Source organism: Homo sapiens, chromosome 1 (genome assembly GCF_000001405.40).
Source record: "Homo sapiens chromosome 1, GRCh38.p14 Primary Assembly".
NCBI classification, from domain to species: Eukaryota; Metazoa; Chordata; class Mammalia; order Primates; family Hominidae; genus Homo; species Homo sapiens.
In genome coordinates this window covers 39,481,892-39,501,987 of record NC_000001.11, presented here as the reverse complement: position 1 = coordinate 39,501,987, position 20,096 = coordinate 39,481,892, and the positions used below count along the sequence as shown (strand labels likewise).

Sequence of the window (20,096 nt, the reverse complement as noted above, 5' to 3'; positions counted from 1 at the left end):
GATTATAGGCGTGAGCCATTGCGCCCGGCCCAGTGTGGGGTTTCTTTAGATGTGATGTTTGAGAAGGCCTCATGAGTAAGATACTCTAAGATCAGACCTGAACACTTCTGGGCATTGCTGGCAGGAATGCAAAATGGCACAATCCCTAGGGTAGGAAATCTGGCAGTAATCTAGCAAAATGATACATGCTGTGACTCAGAAACTGTACTTCCAAGAAAATGTCCCAGCTGGCTGTGATGGCTCATGTCTGTAACCCCATCACTTTGGGAGGCCAGGCAGGAGGACCACTTGAGGCCAGGAGTTCAAGATCAGCCTGGGCAACATAGGGAGGCCCTGTCTCTAGAAAAGTTTTTTAAATTAGCCAGGCATCAGAGGTTGCAGTGAGCTGAGATCACATCACTGCACTTTAGCTCTTTGTTTTGAGGTAGAGTGAGACCCTGTCTCAAAACAAAACAAACAAACAAACAAAATTAGCCAGACACAATGGCACTTTGCTTATAGTCTATTCAGGAGGCTGAGGTAGGAGGATGGCTTGAGCCTGGGAGGTGGAGACTGCAGTGAGCTGTCACTGTGCCATGGCACTCCAGGGTGAGACTCCGTCTCAAAAAAAGAAAAAGAAAAAAGCAAGGTGAACAGTACAGATAATATACCCCTTGCTACAGTTTGGATGTGTTTTATCCCTGACAAAACTCAGGTTGAAATGTGATCCCCAATGTGGCTGTGATCGGAGGTGGGACCTAGTGGGAGGTGTCTGGGTCATGGGGATGAACCACTCACAGACTAATGCCATGGAGGAGGGGGCCAGTGGGTGGGTTTCCCTCTCAGGGGAATGGATTAGTTCCCTAGATGGGGGAGGCTGTTAAAAAGTCTGGCTTGCTCTCTTGCTTCCTCTCACCACATGCTCTCTTTGTACACACCCACTGTCCTTCCACTTTCTGCCATGAATTGAAGTAGCCTGAGGCTCTCACCAGATGCAGCTGCCCAGCCTTGAGCCTTTCAGCCACTAGAATTGTATGCCAAATAAACCTGTTTTCGGCTGGGCGTGGTGACTTACACCTGTAATCCCAGCACTTTGGCAGGCTGAGGCGGGTGGATCACCTGAGGTCAGGAGGTTGAGACCAGCCTGGCCAACATGGTGAAACCCTGTCTCTACTAAAAATACAAAAAATTAGCCAGGTGTGGTGGCGGGCACCTGTAGTCCCAGCTACTTGGGAGGCTGAGGCAGGAGAATCTCTTGAACCCAGGAGGTAGAGGTTGCAGTGAGCTGAAACTGTACCACTGCACTCCAGCCAGGGTGACAGAGCAAGACTCCGTCTCAAAAATAAAATAAAATAAACCTCTTTTTTTTTTTTTTTGTAAATTACTCAGCCTTAGGGAGTCTGTTACAGCAACACAAGATGGAATAAGACAACCTTGTATCTAATAAAGGGTGAGCCCATCATCATCATCACTATCAAACACGGGTCACCTTGAACAGGTTTCTCAACTGTGGCACCACTGACATTTTGGCCAGATAACTCTCGGTTGCAGGGGCTGTTCTGTGTACTGCAGGATGTTCAGCAGCACCCCTGGCCTCTGCCCCTTAGCTGACAGCAGCACTCCCTTCCCCTCCCCATTTGCAACAACTAAAAAGGTCTCCAGATATTGCCAAATGTTTCCTGGGAGGCAAGATTGTCAGTAGTGGAGAAACACTGCCTTTCAAAAATGCTAGGGATCCATTCATTAGTCTAAAACCTGGAAAGTAAGGGGAAAAAAATACCCTCGACTGTAGGAGAAGGAACCAGTTGTGTGAAGATGTGGACAGCCTTCTAGGCAGAGGGAACAGTGGATACAAAGGCTCTGCATGTTTGAGAAACATCAAGGAGGCTGGTGTGGTTGGAATCTAGTGGTCAGGGGGCTGAGGTGTATGAGGAGGTTGGAGTGACAGGCAAGGCCAGTTCATCTCCAAGAAATCCTGTTTCTCAGCCTCCAAGAACTCAGCACAGTGATTCAAAGAAGCCCTGTGACTTGGGAAGAACTTCAAAACTTCAATTGCTGCCAACCAATATTGTGACAGTGCATGACCTTGGGAGGTGAGAAGTCACTTGGGCCACAGTGCGCCTGTAGAGCTTTCTGCAGCCAACAGGGACTGGTGACAGCCAGTTCCAGTGAGACACACCAGCTGGGGGGCTTGGCTCAGAATCCAGGACAGACAATGCTATCCACGCGGAGCTGCACATGGGAGGCAGAAAAGGTTACTTTCTGAACCACCTCACCGTGGCTCTGGGAAAATAAACAATCAGAGAGCCCTCAGCCTCCTCCTCCAGCCTCGGATAAGGCAACCTCAGGACACTGCTCTTCCAGGAAAGGCCACTGTGGGCAGGAGGTGGCCTTCACCGGGCATGGCCACCAGCCACTCCAGGCTAGGCCTCCAGATGCCAAACCCTGCGACCCTCAGTTCGACATCAACAAGGGCTCTGGCTATTTTTGTGCTCTGGGCAATTTAGTCTCACTCAGACAACCTAAATCTGTCTTATTTCTGACCAAAAAGTGGGACTTCAAAAGACACCCTCATCCTCCAGCTCAGAGCAGAATCCTGTGGCCTGTGACCTGTCCCATCTCCCCTCAGACCCTCCCCGGCCCCGAAGGGCCCACAGGAAGAGTGTCCCAGGGCCCTCCCTGCGCTGGCCCTGCCATCTGTCCCTCGGGCCTCTTGTGCCTTCTACCTGCAGACGCCTCCCGCAGAGTCCCTCCTGGAAGCTGCTCTCCCCGGGTGGCCCCGTCCCTCTCAGTCCGACTGAGAAGGCTCCCAGTCCTCAGACCCCAGGCAGGTCAGGCTTTCAGCCTCTCCCGGCCCCCATGCCAGGGCTTGCTGTCTCTGGTTCAGCTGTTCCTCTGGACAGCGAGCCCTTGGAGGGCCGGGATGGAGCCATGTGGGTGGACATGGGAGGCTCGCATGTCAGCTCATCGGCCGCTGTGTTCCGGGGCCCCAGAGCGGGGGTGCCCCGGCCCCTTCTTCCCAAGGGCCTCTTGTCCCCAGGACAGCGGCTCAGTGTCCGGCACTCAGAGCCCTTTGGGCTGGGTATCACTGCCAGTCTGGGTGTGGCTACCATGTCCCCATGTGACTCCATCAGAAGCCACCGACATTCCCGTTGCTGTGGACCTGCCTCCTCTCCCGGCCTGGCCCCTGAGGGTGGACAGCGGCTCCCCCAGAGCCCCGGGTGCATGGGCTGGGCCTGCCTGGCTGGTCCCACAGGCAGCAAAGGCGGTGGGGCAGGGGCACTTCAGACCCAAAAGAAGGCTTGGGCCCCACAGCCTCTGCAGGCCAAGGGAGGGCGGGACTCATGACCTGTTGGTTCTGCGTCCTGAAGGGGCTTCTCCCACCCAGAAATCTCAGCACCGCCTCGAGGCGGGCCCAGGGCTCCATGCTGAGGTATTTCCAGCTGGGTCTCATCACTGGCTTGCTTCAAGGGCTGTTTCCATAAATGGTGCTGCTCTCATAATTACCGGTCCAGGCCTCAGACAGTTCTGGACCCCAAATTAAAAGAGAACACCCACACATGCCTCCACATCAAGCCCGCCAAGGCCAAGAATAGATCCCAGGAGATGTTAGCAAGAAAGACACAATTCCTCCAGTGAAATCCCGGGAAAGAATGAACTGTGGGAATTTTCCAGAAAGAAGTGGTCATGGTGACACATCCTCTCTTGCCTGTGGGAAAGAGGTTCCAGGAGGAGGGGGGCTGGGTGCACCTCCCCACCCTGTGCCTCAGCCCGGAGGAGCCCCCATCAGCAGGCAGGGGGTGGGCATATTCTTTGGTCAGAGCTGGAAAGGACTTCAGGTCCTGCAGAGATGGGGAAACTGAGGCCAAGGAGGGGCAGAGGGTTTCCAGGGTTAGATTACAGGCCTGTGTCAGAATAGAGACCTCTGATGTGGATGTTCACACTTGGGGCCAGTGTGAAATGAGTGGCCCTGGAGTTCAATGGGACATATTGGGATGGGGGTCACCCGTCAACAAGGCCCTCCTATCAACAGACACCCGAGAATGCCCGTGAAGCCACCTTCCTCCAGGCAGGGCCCTGTGGGGACCTGGGGTCCCAGGGGAGGGCCCAGGGAGCTATGGCACCCATTGTTGGCCCCCACACAGACAGGGAGGGCCGGCCCCACTCTGTCCCACCTGACCAGGCCCAGGTTCCTCCTGGCTCTCCCTGCCTCCTGCTGGGTTCCTCTTTCCCTCAACTTCCTGCCACGGGGTGGGGGGCAGGGGCAGGGAAGAGTCAGAATTGGTCCTGTTCTCAGGTTGTTCAGGGGTTGCTGGGGAGTAGGAGAAAGAGGGGCTAGGTGAGCCCCTGGGTCACACAGGCAGAAAGCGACTGGAATCCTAAGAAAAGTGCATGCAATGCAGGTGGGGCTTCTGCCTGGAAAGAGCCTGTCCCTGTGGGATTGTGGGGTAGGGGCAGAGAGATTTATGGAAACCCTGACCCACCTTCATTGAAAAGTGGGTGGAGTTTTCACAAGCAAAAATGGAGGTAAGTGTATTCTATGAAGGAGCTACCCAACGAGCAATGGTGCAGAAGTGGGGCACAATCGATCAGCCCCCATTTGTGAAGTTCCTACTGTGTGTCGGCTTCCAGCTGGCCACACTGCATGCAACCCCGGGAGGCTGGCTCACTTACCTTGCCTCAAAGGTGTGGAAACTGAGTTTCAGGGACTTTAAACAAGCTGCTCAACATCGCACAGCTCCCAAATGGCACACGCAAGATTAAAATCCCTGCTTTAATATATCCACAGAGGGATGTGGATAAAAGTGTTCAGAACAACCCGAATGTCCATAACAATGGATGGACTGTGGTATGTATATTCATGCAATGGAATACAACTCAGTTATGAAAAAAAGAACTACAGATACAACAACATGGAGGAAAATGGAAAAAGAAGCATGCTGAGTCAAAGACTAGACTCAAGAGTATGCACTGTAAGATTCCATTTATGTGAAGTTCAAAGAACAGGCCATGGCAATGAAAATCAGAAAGTAGTTGCCGGAAGGATTGTCTGGTAGGAATGGGGCTCCCTAGGGGCACCCAAGTTACATGCTTCTGCAGAATCTGAATTTTGTAGAATGAGCATGCATTATTTCTATAAATTCCCCCAAAATAAAAATTCTTTAACAACAGGCTTCTCAGCTTACAATACACATTCACATTCAGTTCAATTCGACAGCACTTACTGCATCTAATGATAGGCGGGGACCTGGCCTGGGGTGGAGGCAGCTGCTGTGTTTCACATGGAGGCAGGGGGACAACCTGCTGTGTGGCCTTGGGAAAACCACCTAACTGCTCTGAGCCTCTCTCTCCTCTCTTTCAAACACAGATGTGACGGCAATTGTGAGATACCAATGAAGGAAGAGATGCAGAGGTTCTGGGCACGTGGGCATCGCTGGGTATCATCTCACACAAGCCCAGAACAGTCCCATAAGATGAGTATCTCCATTTTACAGAGGAGGAAACTGAGGCTTGGGGAGGTTGACTGGAAAGCCCAGATCACACTGAGATCAGGTGTTGGCGTCAGGATGCAAATTCCTTGTGTGTGGGTCTCAGGTCAGAAACCCCCAATCTAGCCCTGTCTGTCCTGCCATTGTTCAGCCCCTCCTGTTTCCCGATGGGGCGTTGCTGTCTAGCACACCCGACAATTACCTTTAGGGCTCATGTATGTATTATGTGTCTCTAGACTAGAAAGTCATCTCCCTGAGGGCAGGGACTTTACTTCTCTCATTGTTATATCCCCAGCAACTAGAACTCTGCCTGGTCCGTGGTAGGTGCTACAGAACTATTTGCTGAATGAATGAATGGGAAAATGAAAGAGGTCCCTGGTAAAGAACCAAAGGAAGTGGCCCTGGGGCCCACGGAGATGGTGCCACCGTTCCAGGTCACACGGCTGGCAAGGGCAGAGCAGGACCCGGGCCAGGTCCCGAATTCCCACTCAGTCCTGCTTCTCCCAAATCCAGACGGCTCTGTTCATCAACACCCCTGTCCATGGCCACCGGAGACCACAGGAGCAAATCTGTCTGGTTCAGGAAGGGATCAGGACAAAAATGAAGCTGCCTGCATTCTGATCCTGGCTGGACTTCTGCCTGCTAGTCCTGCTTATGCCTCAGTTTCTCAATCTGGAACATGGGCACCTGCCTCTCTGCTGAGATGGGTGGAGAAGGATTCAGAAGGAGTGTGCAGAGGTGGTCCTTCCTGCCATCCTTCCTCCCTCAGGAGGGGCCGGGCTGCCCTGAGGCACTGGGGCCAAGGCATGGCGGTGTTGTGAGAAGGCGCCTCTGCCACAGAGCCACAGGGTCAGGGCTGGGAGGCACCTTGCTTTTCTGATGCCATCACCGTAGAATGGACGAGAAAGCAGAGGCCCAGGGAAGGGAAGGGCCGTGGCTCAGGACATGCAGGAGTTAATGGTGGGCCCAGGCAGCACAAGAACCTGGGTCCTGCCTCCCAGCTCAGGGCTCTCCCCTCCCTGAGCACAGAGAGACCAGGGACAGAATCCAACCGCTCCATCACTGTCCTGCCCAAGAGAGCCCAGGTCTACAGGCTGATATGGATGACAGGCCAGGCAGGGCCCCGGCTCTGACCCCAGCCCTGGCCTCCCAGTGCAGGCTCTGAACATCAGGACGCAGGCTTGGCTTCCTAAAGCACCTGCTCTGCACGGAGGCCTGAACCCATGGGTGGGAAGCCAGCGAGAGCCCCGCCCTCTGGGTCCCACAGGCTGCCATCAAGAGTTGGGCCCTAGGGGCACCAGGCCTGGCTTTTCAGGACTCAGATGAGGCTGATAGGAGAGGTGGAGCTGGCAGAAGCAGGTGTGAGAGCCTGGGTGTGGGCAGTGACACCACAGCGACCCTGCTATTAGATCCCATGGTGGCTCTGGGGCCACCAACCTTCAGGGGCCTCCAAACACTGAGAGCATCCTGGTACGTGTCTATCCACCCCCCACCCACCCCGCCCCACCCAGCCTCAGTAATTACCAGTTAAAGCTACTCTGAGACAGTTCTACTAGTGCAGTTAGCACAGCAGAATAAAGAAGGCCTTTCTGACAGCTGGCTGCGCCCACCCACAGCCTGGGCTTCCACTAACAACGATCTGCTTGTTAATCCCACGGCGCTGGAGGCCCCGAGTCTTCATGAAGTGCTCAGAGCTGGTGTGGGAAGAAGCTGGGATTTGGAATCCACAGCCATGGATGTCACCTTGGATGTGCTGTGTGGCCCTGGGCTGGCCATTTAATCTCTCTGAGCGCATGAAATGGGGCTGGCAAAACAGTCTCACATGAATTAAATGAGGAATTGTAAGGCTGTGAAAGTTCACACGTGGCCAGGCATGGTGGTTCACGCCTGTAATCCCAGCACTTTGGGAGGCTGAGGTGGGAGGATTGCTTGAGTTCAGGAGTTCAAGACCAGTCTGGGCAATACAGTGAGACTCCCCGTCTCTACAAGAAATATTTAAAAATTATCTGGGTGTGGTGGTGTGCGACTGTAGCCCTAGCTACTGGGGAGGCTGAGGGAGGAAGATTGCTGGAGCCCGGGAATTAGAGGTTGCAGTGAGCTATAATCGCACCACTACACTCCAGCCTGGGGAATGCAGTGAAACCCTGCCTCTTAAAAAAAAAAAAAAGAAAAAAGAAAAAAGAAAGAAAGAAGGAAAGAAAGGAAAAGAAAAGAAAAGAAAAAGTTCACATGCTACTTTTCATTTTAAAAATAAGTACAAACACCTTTGATTGGCTTTTAGAGTTCATTTCTGGGTTTCACGTGTACAAGACATGTGGAGATGTTCCTGTCACCTCCACACTAAGGCTGGGCCACAGCTGGGAGGCCAACAGTGCCCAGGTCCAGGTTCACCCTCTGAGGGGAGCAGCACAGGCTTTCTACTCCTGCCCCTCTACCAATCACACAACAACCCTGAGGACAGATCACCAGGCACCTCCTTTTATAAGGAGCAACCAAGGCTGAGAAGGTGAGGAACTTCCCTAAGGTCACACAGAGGGGTGGGCCCTGCCCAATTCACAGCAACAGCCCCACCAGGCTGTGCATGCCTTGACCCAGGGGATGCCAGGGGAGGTCGGATGTGGGCTGGGTGGTGACGCATTCTGATGGGCGGCTCCCTGGGGACATTCTTGGACGACTCCATCCACAACTCTTCTTGGTCCTGAGCCCAGTGTCAGCCTGTCCTGATGACAGAGCCCCAGCCCCAGCTTCACAGATGGTCTCCTCTGTCCCACATCCCCACCCTGTCCTCTAACTACAAAGGCAGCATACAGATCCCACCGGCTAGAGTCCTGTCCCTGGCACTGGGCGCTCAGCGATGGTGAATGGCTGCCTTCTGCTGCTCGCCTCCACCACCAGCTCTGGGTTGCGGGAAGCAGAGGCTTGGCCATGCCCTCTTCTGCTCTAGTGTAGGAAGCAAATGGCTGATGGCCCCACAAGACCTGCTGCAGCTCAGTACCCTGTGTTCCTCAGCCCAGACTCCTCAGAAAGCTCTCTGCACCCTGAAAGCCTGACCTGACAACAGAAATGTCATCTCATTGAGCCCTGGATGGACAGTCAGGCTTCCTGGGCCTGTCCTGGCTCAGCAACATAGAGGCTGCGCTGTCCTAGGCATGGCGCTGCCTCTCTGAACCTCACTGTCCTCATCTGGGAGATGGGGATGAAGACCGTGGCTGTTATCAGGGTTGTCGGGAGGATGAAGAATTAATGATGCTGTCTGTGGAGGGAGGCTGGTGGCTGGGGCAGGTACCCACTCCCTGCTCTCAGCCCCACAGCTCCCCCACTTCGGGCTGAGCTGTGGTCCTTGGCTCCCAGACCCCGGCCTGTCACTAGCCACAGACAGGAGGCAAAGCAGACGGGGGACCTGACCAACAGTAACTACACGAGCATAGACCAAAGAGTTTAGTACTGGAAAAGAAAAATCTGAGATCTTAAGGAATAAATAGCTCCAGGGTTTGATACAAGATGTTTGCAGACAGGAAAAGCCCGGCTTTGCCTGGGAGAACACAGTGGGTCCAGCTGCCCACTGGGCCATTCCACAGGACCGGACACTCACCCTATACCAGGCCACATGCTAAGTGCAGGGCCCAGGGTGACAAGGCCACAGTCCCTGCCCCAGCGAGCTGAGTCTGCTCCTTCCCCAGCCGCTCCCCTGACAGCCGCACCCCACCCAGGCTCCGCACAGGGAAGAGCCTGCTGTGGACTCAGGGCACGCGACTCAGCTCTGGTCACTCCGATGATGTGACCACAGGTTTCCACGCTGAACTTTGTCCCTCTCCTCAGTACTGTCCTTATCACAGTGACAGCATCCCGGCCTCTGTTTACTCACCTGTCTCCCCAGGACCAGGCTGTCTTCCCGGGGCAGCCCAGGTGGGCAAAGACATCACCTAATTCTTACTCCTGGGTGTGTCTGGGGCAGGGTGAAGGCAGCGCCTGGGAGTCCACAGTCCCCCACACTCTGCTCCTGACCACCCCGCAGCCCAGGGGGCCCCCATGACCCTTAGACCTTCCCTAACCACGGCGGTCCCACTCCCCTGTGGTTCGCGTCCACCGTCTGTGATTCCCCGTTCGGCCAGGGCCCGGCACCGCCCGCGGATGCGCGCCCCTCCCCTGCAGCCAGCTTACTCCGAGGGTCCCCGCGCGGGCGGCCGCACTCACCCATGTTGACGAAGCTCATGACCAGGTCGGCGCGGCCCAGGCGCTGCTCCGCGGGCGCGCCGTCCTCGTCGTCGTCGCCAGCCATGGCGTGGTACAGGTCCAGCATGAAGAGCGGCGCGGACGCGGGCAGCCGGGAGGCGGCGGGTGGCGCGCGGGGCCGGGGCCGCCCGGGTAGCCCGAGCACCGCCAGGATCTCGCGCTGCACGTCCCGGCGCTCGCGCGCGCCCAGACGTCGCTGGGGACAGCCGGGCGGGGGTCGCAGGCCGGGGCCGCCCCCGCCCAGCGCGCACAACGTCAGGCCCAGAAGCCAGAGCGGTCCGGGGCGCGCGGCCATGGCGGGCCGGGGGCGCTCAGCGGGCGCACATCAGCTCCGCCGCCGCCCCTGGGCCCGGGGACGCCCCGACGGCGAACGGGGAGCTGAGTTCGGCGAGCAGGGGGCGGGGCTCGGCGGGCGGCGTCTGCGGCCTCAGCGCGGTCCCTGGAGCGCCCCCCGCGCGCACCTGCCCCGGCTCCGGGACAAGCGGACGCTGACGCGGACGCAGACGCCAACGCTTCGAGGCCGGGGCTGTTCTGAGGGCTGGGACTGTCAGCCAATCCGTCTGTCGCCGCCGTTCCCACCAGTCCGGCTGTGGCTGCGGTCCGCGCAGCGCAGGGGCGACCGGCGAGCTCCGGCAGCGACCCGGGCGGCGCGATTCCCGCGAGTCCTTGCCCCGGCTCAGCCGTCTGTGCCGCCCGCCCACCCCCGGGACTGACCAATGGGGGCGCGGGGGCGGGGCCTGGGCGCGGAGGCCGCGCCCGCTAGGAGCCCCGGGCGGCGGCAGGTGTTGCGGGTGGGGCGACCCCGAGGTGCGACCTCGGCGTGGCTGGCGGTTGGTCCGGGCGAGGAGCCCGCAGCCTGGGCGTCAGCGTGGTCAGGGCCGTCGTGGCTCCCGCCGCGGGCCTCGGCGCAGAGATCCTAAGGCCGCGGCGCCGTCCCGGTCCCGCCAGTGGTGCCACCCGGCTGCCTCGCCGTGGTGTGCCGTGGTCGCCACCGGGCCCGACACGCGGCCGTAGCCCCGTCTGGAGAGCCGGGCGGTGCCAGCCAAGCCCCGCGGGTGGGGCCTGTTCCTCTGCCCGCAGCAGCCGGCCCGGGTTCCGGCCACCGCGGCCCCTCACCGCCTCCTGGCGCCTTCCCCGTGGCCCCTGCATGCGCTTCTGCGGGCGCCTCCTTCTCGGCACCTGCTCGGCTGCTTCTCCCTGCGTCCCCCACCTGGCTCCCGCGTGAGCCCAGGCAGCGCCCCAGTCGGGCCGCCCCCGCCAGCCCTAGCTGTGCGCCCTGCGTCCCCGGTACTGATCCAGCTTTGCGGAGGAGGCTCCGCCTCCTGCCTCCAGCTGGGCCAGAAGCTCTGGGGCCCTTCCCGAGCACTCGGGAGCCACCTGTGCACATCTTCTCAGTCCCCACGGCCCCGGTGCAGGCCTGCCAAGAGAAGGATCCCCGCGGAAACGTCTCGACTGACTCAGTCCCTTTCTGCACACCTGCTCTTCCCTGGGCGCGCTCTCGCCTTACTTATTCCTGTGTGGTTCAGGCGCTGCGGAAGGAGAAGGCACCTAGACTGCACTGGGAAGGCTCCTGGAGTTGACCTGGAGCGCCAGGAAAGGTCAGTGGAGGAAAGTGCTCCAGGCAGAGGGAATAGCTTGTGCCAAGGCCCTGAGACCCCGGCTGGGGAGCCTAATAATGGCAACAGTCAGCACTTGCCACGCCAAGGCATGTTCTGAGTGTGTGTCTCGTGTCATTTCTGTGATGCTCGCACATCGTTAGGGGGTACATACCACTGGAACCTCCTCTTTTAATAAATGAGGAAACTGAGGCACACGGCGGTTAAGGGACTTACGCCAGGTCACACAGCAGTGGAGCTGCGCTCGGGCAGGGGGGCAGTGGAAACTGGAGAGCCCAGGGGGCAAACGGCGGAGGCTGGAGGGGCTGGCAAGGGAGGCACCGCAAAGGGCCTCACAGGGGCTAGACGAGGGCCCTGGGCACCAGAGATTATGGTGCCCCGCCATGTGGATTGAAGATTAAACCTCGAAGCAAGTGTATAATGCCCCCAAAAATCACATTTGGAAGTCATCACTTCAATAAAATTTTCTACAACAAATTCTTAATCTAAATAGTCATTTGCTGGTGCCTTAAACACACGCCTAGTTTGTCTTTTACCCAACAGGTATATTTCCACACTGCTCGTAAATTTTCTGCGCGGTCCCCAGAGCGCCCCCCATGAGGCACCTGCATCAGCTCCGGGCAGAGCAGATGTGGATGCCACCGCCTAGAAGCCGGGGCTACCCTGCGGACTGGGACTGTCCCATAAGGATACTGAGCTAAGGATAATGCAGAATAACCGTTGAAAGTACCCAAGACCAGAGCTTGGAAGCAGAGCGGAATATGGATCAGAGGGAGACAGGAGTCAGGGCCCTGCAGTTGGAGGCAGGTACAGCAATCAGATGTGGGGGTGGGTACAATGACCATGAGTCTCTAATGGTGATGGGGTGGAGGGGCAGAGGAGAAAGCTGTTTAGGAGGCTGAATCCACAGGGCTTTGTCCCCATGTCATCTTGGTCAGAGTCTCGGAATCTCCTGCCCACACCCCCTTCACTGTCCTCTCTGCACGCCCCTTTTGAATCCACTGCACATCACTTGAGGCCCTAGATCCAGCCTGTACAATTCTCAGGTTTGTTTTGTGCAATTCTGGGCTCCCAGCTAGACTGCAAGCTGCCCAGTGCTGGGCTGATTCTTATAACAGAAATCATTTCTCAATTTAGGATGTGGAGATAGAGCTGTGTTTTCTAAACAACGGGCTTCACATTCCCATAAACCTAAACAGCAGATTTTAGCCATTCCAAGGGCCTCTGCCCACGCTTCAGTTCAGCAACAACCACCGTGAGCTGCTCTGTGCTGTGCCCTGAACCAGAGATGGAGCAGACAAGCCCCCTGCCCCTGAGCAGCCCCCACAGCAACAGGGGTGACAGCTGGTGAACACGGCAATTTCCCAAAGCAAAATGAAAGCTGTGCTCCCAGAGGAGCCAGCAAAGTGGCTGTAAGGGCAGAGGAGCGGGGAAGTGGGAGCAGACCACATGAGTGGAATCCAGAACATTAGGACTGGAAGGGAACTGAGGTGGGGTAGGTTTCTTGGAGAAAGTAGTGTCAAAACAAGGGTTTTCCCTAGCCACCTGGCAACTCTGTGATCTTAACCTCTCTCAGGCTCAGTGTCTTATCAAGAAAAGGGGGCTAATGATCATAGAACTGTTAAGCGTATTCAGTGAGAATGTATATAGAGCACTTAGCACAATCACTGGCTTACAGTAAGCAGTCAATAAATATGAGCTAGTTATTGCATCATTCAAGGCCCCAGCAGACACCAAATTTTCCTTCCTCATTTAGCATTTCTATCACAGGACTGTGATTATATATATATATATTTATTTACTTATTATTTATTTTTTGAGATGGAGTTTCTCTTTTCTTGCAGGCTGGAGTTCAATGGCGCAATCTTGGCTCACTGCAACCTCCGTCTCCCAGGTTTAAGCAATTCTCCTGCCTCAGCCTCCCGAGTAGCTGGGATTACAGGTGCCCACCACCACACCTGGCTAATTTTTGTATTTTTAGTAGAGACGGGGTTTCACCACATTGACCAAGCTGGTCTTGAACTCCTGACCTCAGGTGATCCACCCGCCTCAGCCTCCCAAAGTGCTGGGATTACAGGAATAAGCCACCACACCCGGCCCAGGACTGTGATTATACTTTAACCCTTTTCCTAGCATCTTGTTATTTCCTACATGGTCTTGTGTACAGGCATTTGTTGAATGGAAATGCACTTTTTTTTAGCCAGGCATGGTAGCATGTGCCTGTAACTCCAGCTACTCAGGAGGCTGAGGCAGGAGAATAGTTTGAGCTTGGGAGGCGGAGGTTGCGGTCAGCCCAGATTGCGCCACTGCACTCCAGTGGGCAACAGAATGAGTCCCTATCTCAAAAAAAAAAAAAAAAAAGAAAAAAAAAAAAAGAAAAAAAAAGAAATGCACTTTTCGTTGGTGCCGCTGCCAGCTGAACTTTGCCACAAAACCCCAGAAAACCTTAATTACTTGGTAAGATTCTGGACCATAACCCACAATCTGGGAAGATGGAGGTCAAGCTGGTCTCACATGCTTCTGCTGCCAAGAGGCCTAGAAGGGGAAGCAAATTAGGGTGAAAACACTATCCTATACAAAGTCCTGGCAGCCTGAAGTTCCCCAGTTCCATGGAGAACAGAGTAAGCACTTCCTTCAGAATCCATTAGGCTCCAAATTCCTTTTAATCTGGGTATTTGGCCTTAACAGCTTTGGCAAACATGCATCGATCTCACCAAATGCCTATGTCCTAAGGAATGCGGCCTAATGACCAAGAACACAGGTGGCATGAGTCTTAGCCCCTTTACCTCCGAAGCCTCTAGCCCTTTTCTTCTTATTACTAAGTTAACATTTGGCTGCTCTATTATAAAGCCAACTGACTAGAGGCTGGAGGAAATAGAAGTGCCAGACTTGAACAGGGAGTCGAGGACTGGATTCAAGGTTCACTTCTGTCATTTATTCATTTTGTGAGCTCAGGGAAATCACTTTCTCTTGTACTTTCCCATCCCAGTTTCTCCATCTGTAAAACAAAGGAGCTAGATATGATGACCGATTTTGCTTCCACCTCTGAAATTCTACCATTTAACCAGAAATTTCAGCATACTGTGACATAGTGTGACAAACTGGTCCCATTCTGAGAACCCAGGATCTCCATGATTTCTAGTATCTTTTTACATAATACTATTTGTTTAATCATGTAAGTAGGACAGATATCCTACATGTTCATGTTAATAGCTTGTCTTTTTTTTTGAGACAGGGTCTCGCTGTGTCACCCAGGCTGGGGTGCAGTGGTGCAATCGTGGCTCACTGTAGCCTTGACTTCCCAGGCTCAAGTGATCCTCCCACCTTAAGTTCCCTAGTAGTTGCGGCTATAGGCATGTGCCACCATGCCTAATTGTTTCTTTAGTTTTAGTAGATACAAGGTCTTACTATGTTTCCCAGGCTGGTCTCCAACTCCTGAACTCAAGTGATCCTCCTGCCTTGGCCTCCCATAGTGCTGGGATTATGGGCGTGAGCCACCATGCCCAGCCATATTAAACAAAATTAACAAGGATGAAATAAAACAAGATCTATTAAGCTCTATAATTTATCCATCAAGATATTTTGATTTGCGGAATGCATTTAAGTACCTACAACATGATTATACCCCAGGGTAACATTTATAGATAAGGTAATAGTTGAAAAGAAAATCAGGAAATACAAAATATTTGTTACTGCAAGCAATTTTAATACAAAAGTGTGTCTTGTTTCTAAACAGTTCATTGGTAGAGCTTCAGTTTCTGCCTCAATTAAAACCAATTGAGATAATCACACAGCAACATGGTCGGAGCTGAAGAACAGCAGCTAAAAAACAGGAGCCCCAGACAGCCCCTTTTCATGGTCACTTGGTCAGTTGACTTTATTACGCACAAAAAAAGACGAAAGCAAACAGGACTGGTTAACAAGTGTGCTGGTGAACTCCATTAAAGGACGAGCACGTGTTTGTCTTACGTCCACATTTTCAGAACAGGCTCGTGGAATTCATTCCTCAGTTTGTGGGAAGTTGATCGACCATTTAAATAAATAGCAAAAAAAGTGGATAAAACAAATCTGAAATTCACAATGTCACCAACGAGCCTATCCCTTGCCAAGGGTCTGGGTCCTGGTGAACACAAGAGTTACTGGTGTCTAGGCTGGATAGGGAGCAACAAATCAGTTTAAAACCCCAAATGTTCTGACGTTTTCTGAACACTTACATTTACCCCTGAATTCTAGCAGCTATTTGTCCTTTAAACACCCAGTACTGAAACAATATCCAAAGACAGTATTGCAATGAACTCCTTTTGCTGTATCATGTGCAAATGTTACTTAGATGAGGTTCCCTCTCTTTAGCTAAAAATCACAAAACATTAAACAATGGAAAAAGCCCTCCCCTCAGTTCTTGCTAATTGAGGTGTCCGTGATTTACAAAAAAAGAGTTCCTTAAACACTGCAGGATTCTTATTTTTTTAATATAATTTATCTTGCTGAGATAGCAAGTCAAGTTTATAAAGAAGATGCATTTAGGAATAATCCTAAAAGATAAAGCAGGTTTACAACCCTGCACCGCGCAGAAACCCTATTAATAGGCTTTTTTTTTTTTAATACACATTTGTATCTTGACCTTTTCACTTGTTTTTCTCAAATATTTCATTTCTGGGCCCCATCCATTACAGGGTTACCAGGAGGCAAATTTTATCTACATAAATATTCACATGAAAATAGTAACTTACAAAAAGAAAAAAAATAAGGCAGCTTCATAACACAATTATTCTTTTACACTTTTAACAATATAACTTCTCCCGTTCAGAATAAATATACACCCAATGTATGGAGCAGGATTCAAAGTGGATAGTGGCTTGGGGGTGCTTAGACAGTGTTATCGCTTGGGACCTGGAGTCCTGGGGGAGGCAGTGGTGGTCTTCTTAGACATGGTTGGGATTTTGGAAGGTTTGTTTAGCCCTCTCCTGGAGTTGCCTTGGCCCCCTGCAGCGCTGCTTTCTGAAGTGTCGGAACAAGCAGACTGCGTCTCTAAGAGGTCAAAGTCAGAAGCGTCACTTCCTCGCCGGCTGCTGGCTCGACTCCCGGCTCGACTCCCAGCCCGACTCCCAGGGCGACTGGCAGACTTTTTAGGGTCTGGAATTCAAGAATAAAACAGCAGACTTAATAGAGATGGCATGGGGTGGAAGAACAAGTGAGCAGAAGCTAGGGTTCTGATCCTGTGTGATCTTAAGCAAATCTCACAGCCTTTCTGCACCCCAGTTTCCTCATCCATACAGAAGTTGCTGAAGCCTTTTCTGGCTTTGTGATTCTACTTGAGAAGCTGCCTCCTGGGGATTAGAAAGCCACTCTATCAGCAGCACTGTCACCTTCCATGGCCCCAAAGTGGAGGCAAGCAAGGTTGCTCAACCACCTCAGCACAGGTGGGTGAGCCTGCCAGCCGGGCTAATCCATGGGCAGGATGGATAGAGGCAAAATGAGGGGAAGCAGCCAGCCAGGAAATGAAGGAAGATTCCTAGGTTCCCATGAGGAACAGTAGCAGGAGAACAGATGTGATCTTCCCCTGCCTTTCTTGGTTCAACAGCAGCCATAGTAAGTATGACGTGTTGGAAAAATTACTAGCAAGCTGCTCATCCCAACACTGGACTGGTGTCTGAGGAAGACCCACATTTCCTTTTACATTCTCTCAAATGTGATCATTTCTGATGAGAACGCATGGCCCAGCTTTGGCTGTGGAAGCATCTCATCTCAGAAGGAAAGCTTAAAGCTAGCTGTAATGACAGAAAAAGTAAAGGTCACTTGAGCATCTGCAGGTCTGTCTTTCTGGGCATCACACTAAGTGCCACTCTCATTACCCGCTCCTTGGGAGCAGTGAAACATTCCACATAGGCTGTTGTTTCCAAATTCTCAGCCTGGCTTGTAGGTCACGGGGCAGGTACTTACCTGCCCGATTAGTTTTGGCACCTGTGGAGGCCGGGGAAGAACTATTGCTGGTATCACCAGCAAGGGATGTCCGACTAGAATGAAAAGTTGGTGTTGGTCGTTTCAACTTGCTACCTGATGATGGGATAACCTTAAAAAAAATAATAAAAAGGTCACATTTTACTTGGTAAAATCTTTGCCAGAAATTCAACTTTAAAAGGTCTCCTTACACCTCCTTATATTTGCTTAGTTGAAAAGCAAATTAAAAGTCCAGGAAAACAAAGATTTCTCTTAAAGTATCCTAGGTCATATATTTTGATAATTCCCAAAATCAAAGTTTTATGTTCCAAATAAAAATTTCAAAATGTCTTCAAATACCTTTTGTTTTACTAATTTCCCCTAGAAATGAAAAAAAAAAAATCCTCAGTAAGAATACAATAGTTACAACAAACAATTATGGTGAATGAGTAAAGGAAAAAGAAATTCAAATAATACTAGGTATCAAGATTTTGGGGTTAAAAATTTGAAATGAGTTTTAGCCCACCTATTTGATATGGAGATTCAAGTATTACTCCAATCTTTTTTTATTTTATTTTTTTGAGACGGAGTCTCGCTCTGTCACCCAGGCTGGAGTGCAGTGGTGCAATCTCGGATCACCGCAAGCTCTGCCTCCTGGGTTCACACCATTCTCCTGCCTCAGCCTCCGAAGTAGCTGGGACTACAGGCACCCGCCACCACGTCCAGCTAATTTTTTTGTATTTTTTAGTGGAGACGGGGTTTCACCGTGTTAGCCAGGATGGTCTCGATCTCCTGACCTTGTGATCTGCCCACCTCAGCCTCCCAAAGTGCTAGGATTACAGGTGTGAGCCACCGCACCTGGCCCCAATCTCTTAACACTAAGTAGGTGCAGTAACTTTAGTAAGATCTTTTAGTCATTATCCTTACTGGTAAAATGCAGATAAAATTACTTAACTTGTGGATCAAATAAACTATGAGAAGCACACGACTGTGGGACTGAGACATCAGGAACAAGTCTGTGCATGAAGAACCAGGAGACCTGGGTTTGAGTCTGGGTTCCAGGACTGATTGAAATTAACACCTGTGTCTTTGCTTCTCTCTTGGGAAATCAGGGATTAAATCCTGCCTCTTTGACTTCATTTCTACCACACTCCTCATCAGTCCATCCCAGCCACACTAGCTTCCTTGCTGTTCCACCAATGGCCCAGTGAGGGTCCACCAGTCTTGTCCCCTTGCTGTTCATTTTGCCTGGACTGTTGTTGCACAATCACCACACCCCAAGCCTACCCCAGATACACGTGTGGCTCACCCCCTCATTCCCTGCAGGGGCTCTATTGAAAGGATGACCTTAGTAGAGAGGTCTTGTCTCACTACTCAGAACACTGCTTGTACACTTCTATTCTCTCCCCTGCTTCCTGTGTTCTGCACAGCACAGAAGAGGAACTCAATAAAAACTTGCATGAATAAATGATGAATAGAAGCATTTCCCAAACTGGAAAAGAGCTACATATTATTATCACTGCTACCAATAGGTGCTATGTTTCCTATTTGAGTGATTTTTTTTGGTTTTTTAGATAGTAGGCTTAACTGGAGGAAAAAGAGTATTTTAAATGTGTGGGTGTTTTTTTTTTTTTTTTTTTTTTTTTTGAGACAGAGTCTTGCTCCATCACCCAGACTGGAGCACAGTGGCATACTTCATGGCTCATTGCAGCCTCGACCTCCCAGGCTCAAGCAATCCTCCCACCTCAGCCTCCCTAGTGGCTGGCTTATTTTTGTATTTTTTGTAGAGACAGGGTTTCTCCATGTTGCCCAGGCTGGTCTTGAACTCCTGGGCTCAAGTGATCTGCCCACCTCGGCCTCACAAAGTGTTGGGATTACAGGGGTGAGCCACCATGTCCAGCCTTAAATCTGTGTGGGGTTTTTTTTTTTTTTTTTTTTTTTTGAGGCAGTCTCACTCTGTTGCCCAGGCTGGAGTGCAGTGGCACAATCTTGGCTCACTGCAACCTCTGCCTCCCAGGTTCAAGTGATCTCCTGCCTCAGCCTCCCATGTAGCTGGGACAACAGGCGCCTGCCACCACACCCAGCTAATTCTGTATTTTTAGTAGAGATGGGGTTTTGCCATGTTGACCAGGCTGATCCTTAAATGTTTTAAACATCCATTATTTGACCTTGTCTCTACTTTGCTTTTTAAAAAATGAAAAAACAAACAAACAAACAAACAAAAAAACCCCCAAAACATTACTTATGCCACATGCTACAGCATGCCATTCTAATTTTTCTTTGAAATCAATTATGTAAATTGTTTTCCAGGACCTTTAAGACGTTTATGCAAACAGAAGAGAAAAGCAATCCATCTCATTGTTTGCTGTACTTCTTAAATTTATAAAGAAAAAGCATAAGCGATAGAAAGTGATTAACACTCAAGCACAAAATTTCCTGGCCACATAGGAGGAAGAACACCAGTTTCAGAAGCTAAGGTTCCTGCGCACTGCTGCTGGAAGACCACAGCTAGAACCCGGGCTAGAATTCCAAGTCAGGAGATGGCCTGGCTACAGAACACCAATAAGTAAGGAAAGATGAAGCCTCAAAATGAAATGAAACAGAAAATAAAACCTTAAGACAGAACAAAAGCCCTGATTTATCAGAACTGTATGAGAATTTGTACATCATTAAACATCTAAAATTTAAAATAGAACTGAGATTTTTATGAAACTGGAGCCATTAAGGAAAGAAGAAAAGCAAGATAAGCAGGGTGAGTCTAGTAGTTTAGTGGCAGTAGGTCCCCAGATCATATTCTAAACCAGATATATTTCTGAACTGGAGTTTTAGCTTGAAGTGAAAT

The 20,096-nt window shown here is 51.8% G+C and overlaps 2 protein-coding genes and 1 long non-coding RNA gene across 12 annotated transcripts in view, besides 2 other annotated features; 1 reads left to right on the top strand and 2 right to left on the bottom strand.

The window, feature by feature from the left end:
- Window positions 1-10,352, bottom strand: part of BMP8A (bone morphogenetic protein 8a) — a 38,234-nt gene extending 27,882 nt beyond the window's left edge. For all 8 annotated transcript variants that reach the window (XR_946641.3, XR_946640.3, XR_946642.3 and 5 more), the window contains exon 1: window positions 9,663-10,352. Coding sequence is in view for 5 of the 8 variants with exons in the window: in NM_181809.4 (NP_861525.2) it covers window positions 9,663-9,996 (334 nt within the window). In the remaining 3 variants the exon portion in view is untranslated. The remainder of the gene's footprint in view (window positions 1-9,662) is intronic.
- Window positions 10,024-10,123: a silencer, noted in NCBI's record as "silent region_701". NCBI's record gives its function as "represses an Ori minimal core promoter by ATAC-STARR-seq in GM12878 lymphoblastoid cells {active_cell/tissue: GM12878}" and the evidence as "EXISTENCE:reporter gene assay evidence [ECO:0000049][PMID:35858748]".
- Window positions 10,224-10,853: a silencer, noted in NCBI's record as "silent region_700". NCBI's record gives its function as "represses an Ori minimal core promoter by ATAC-STARR-seq in GM12878 lymphoblastoid cells {active_cell/tissue: GM12878}" and the evidence as "EXISTENCE:reporter gene assay evidence [ECO:0000049][PMID:35858748]".
- On the top strand, window positions 10,440-15,032 carry LOC124904101 (uncharacterized). Its single transcript, XR_007065978.1, has 2 exons — window positions 10,440-11,299; window positions 11,861-15,032. It is a non-coding gene; the product is annotated as an uncharacterized LOC124904101 (long non-coding RNA).
- Window positions 14,850-20,096, bottom strand: part of MACF1 (microtubule actin crosslinking factor 1) — a 402,972-nt gene continuing 397,725 nt past the window's right edge. For all 3 annotated transcript variants that reach the window (NM_012090.5, NM_001394062.1, NM_001397473.1), the window contains 2 exons: window positions 17,258-17,387; window positions 14,850-16,450 (listed from right to left, as the gene is read on the bottom strand). In NM_012090.5, coding sequence (NP_036222.3) covers window positions 16,194-16,450; window positions 17,258-17,387 — 387 coding nt within the window. In that variant the 3' untranslated portion in view covers window positions 14,850-16,193. The remainder of the gene's footprint in view (window positions 16,451-17,257; window positions 17,388-20,096) is intronic.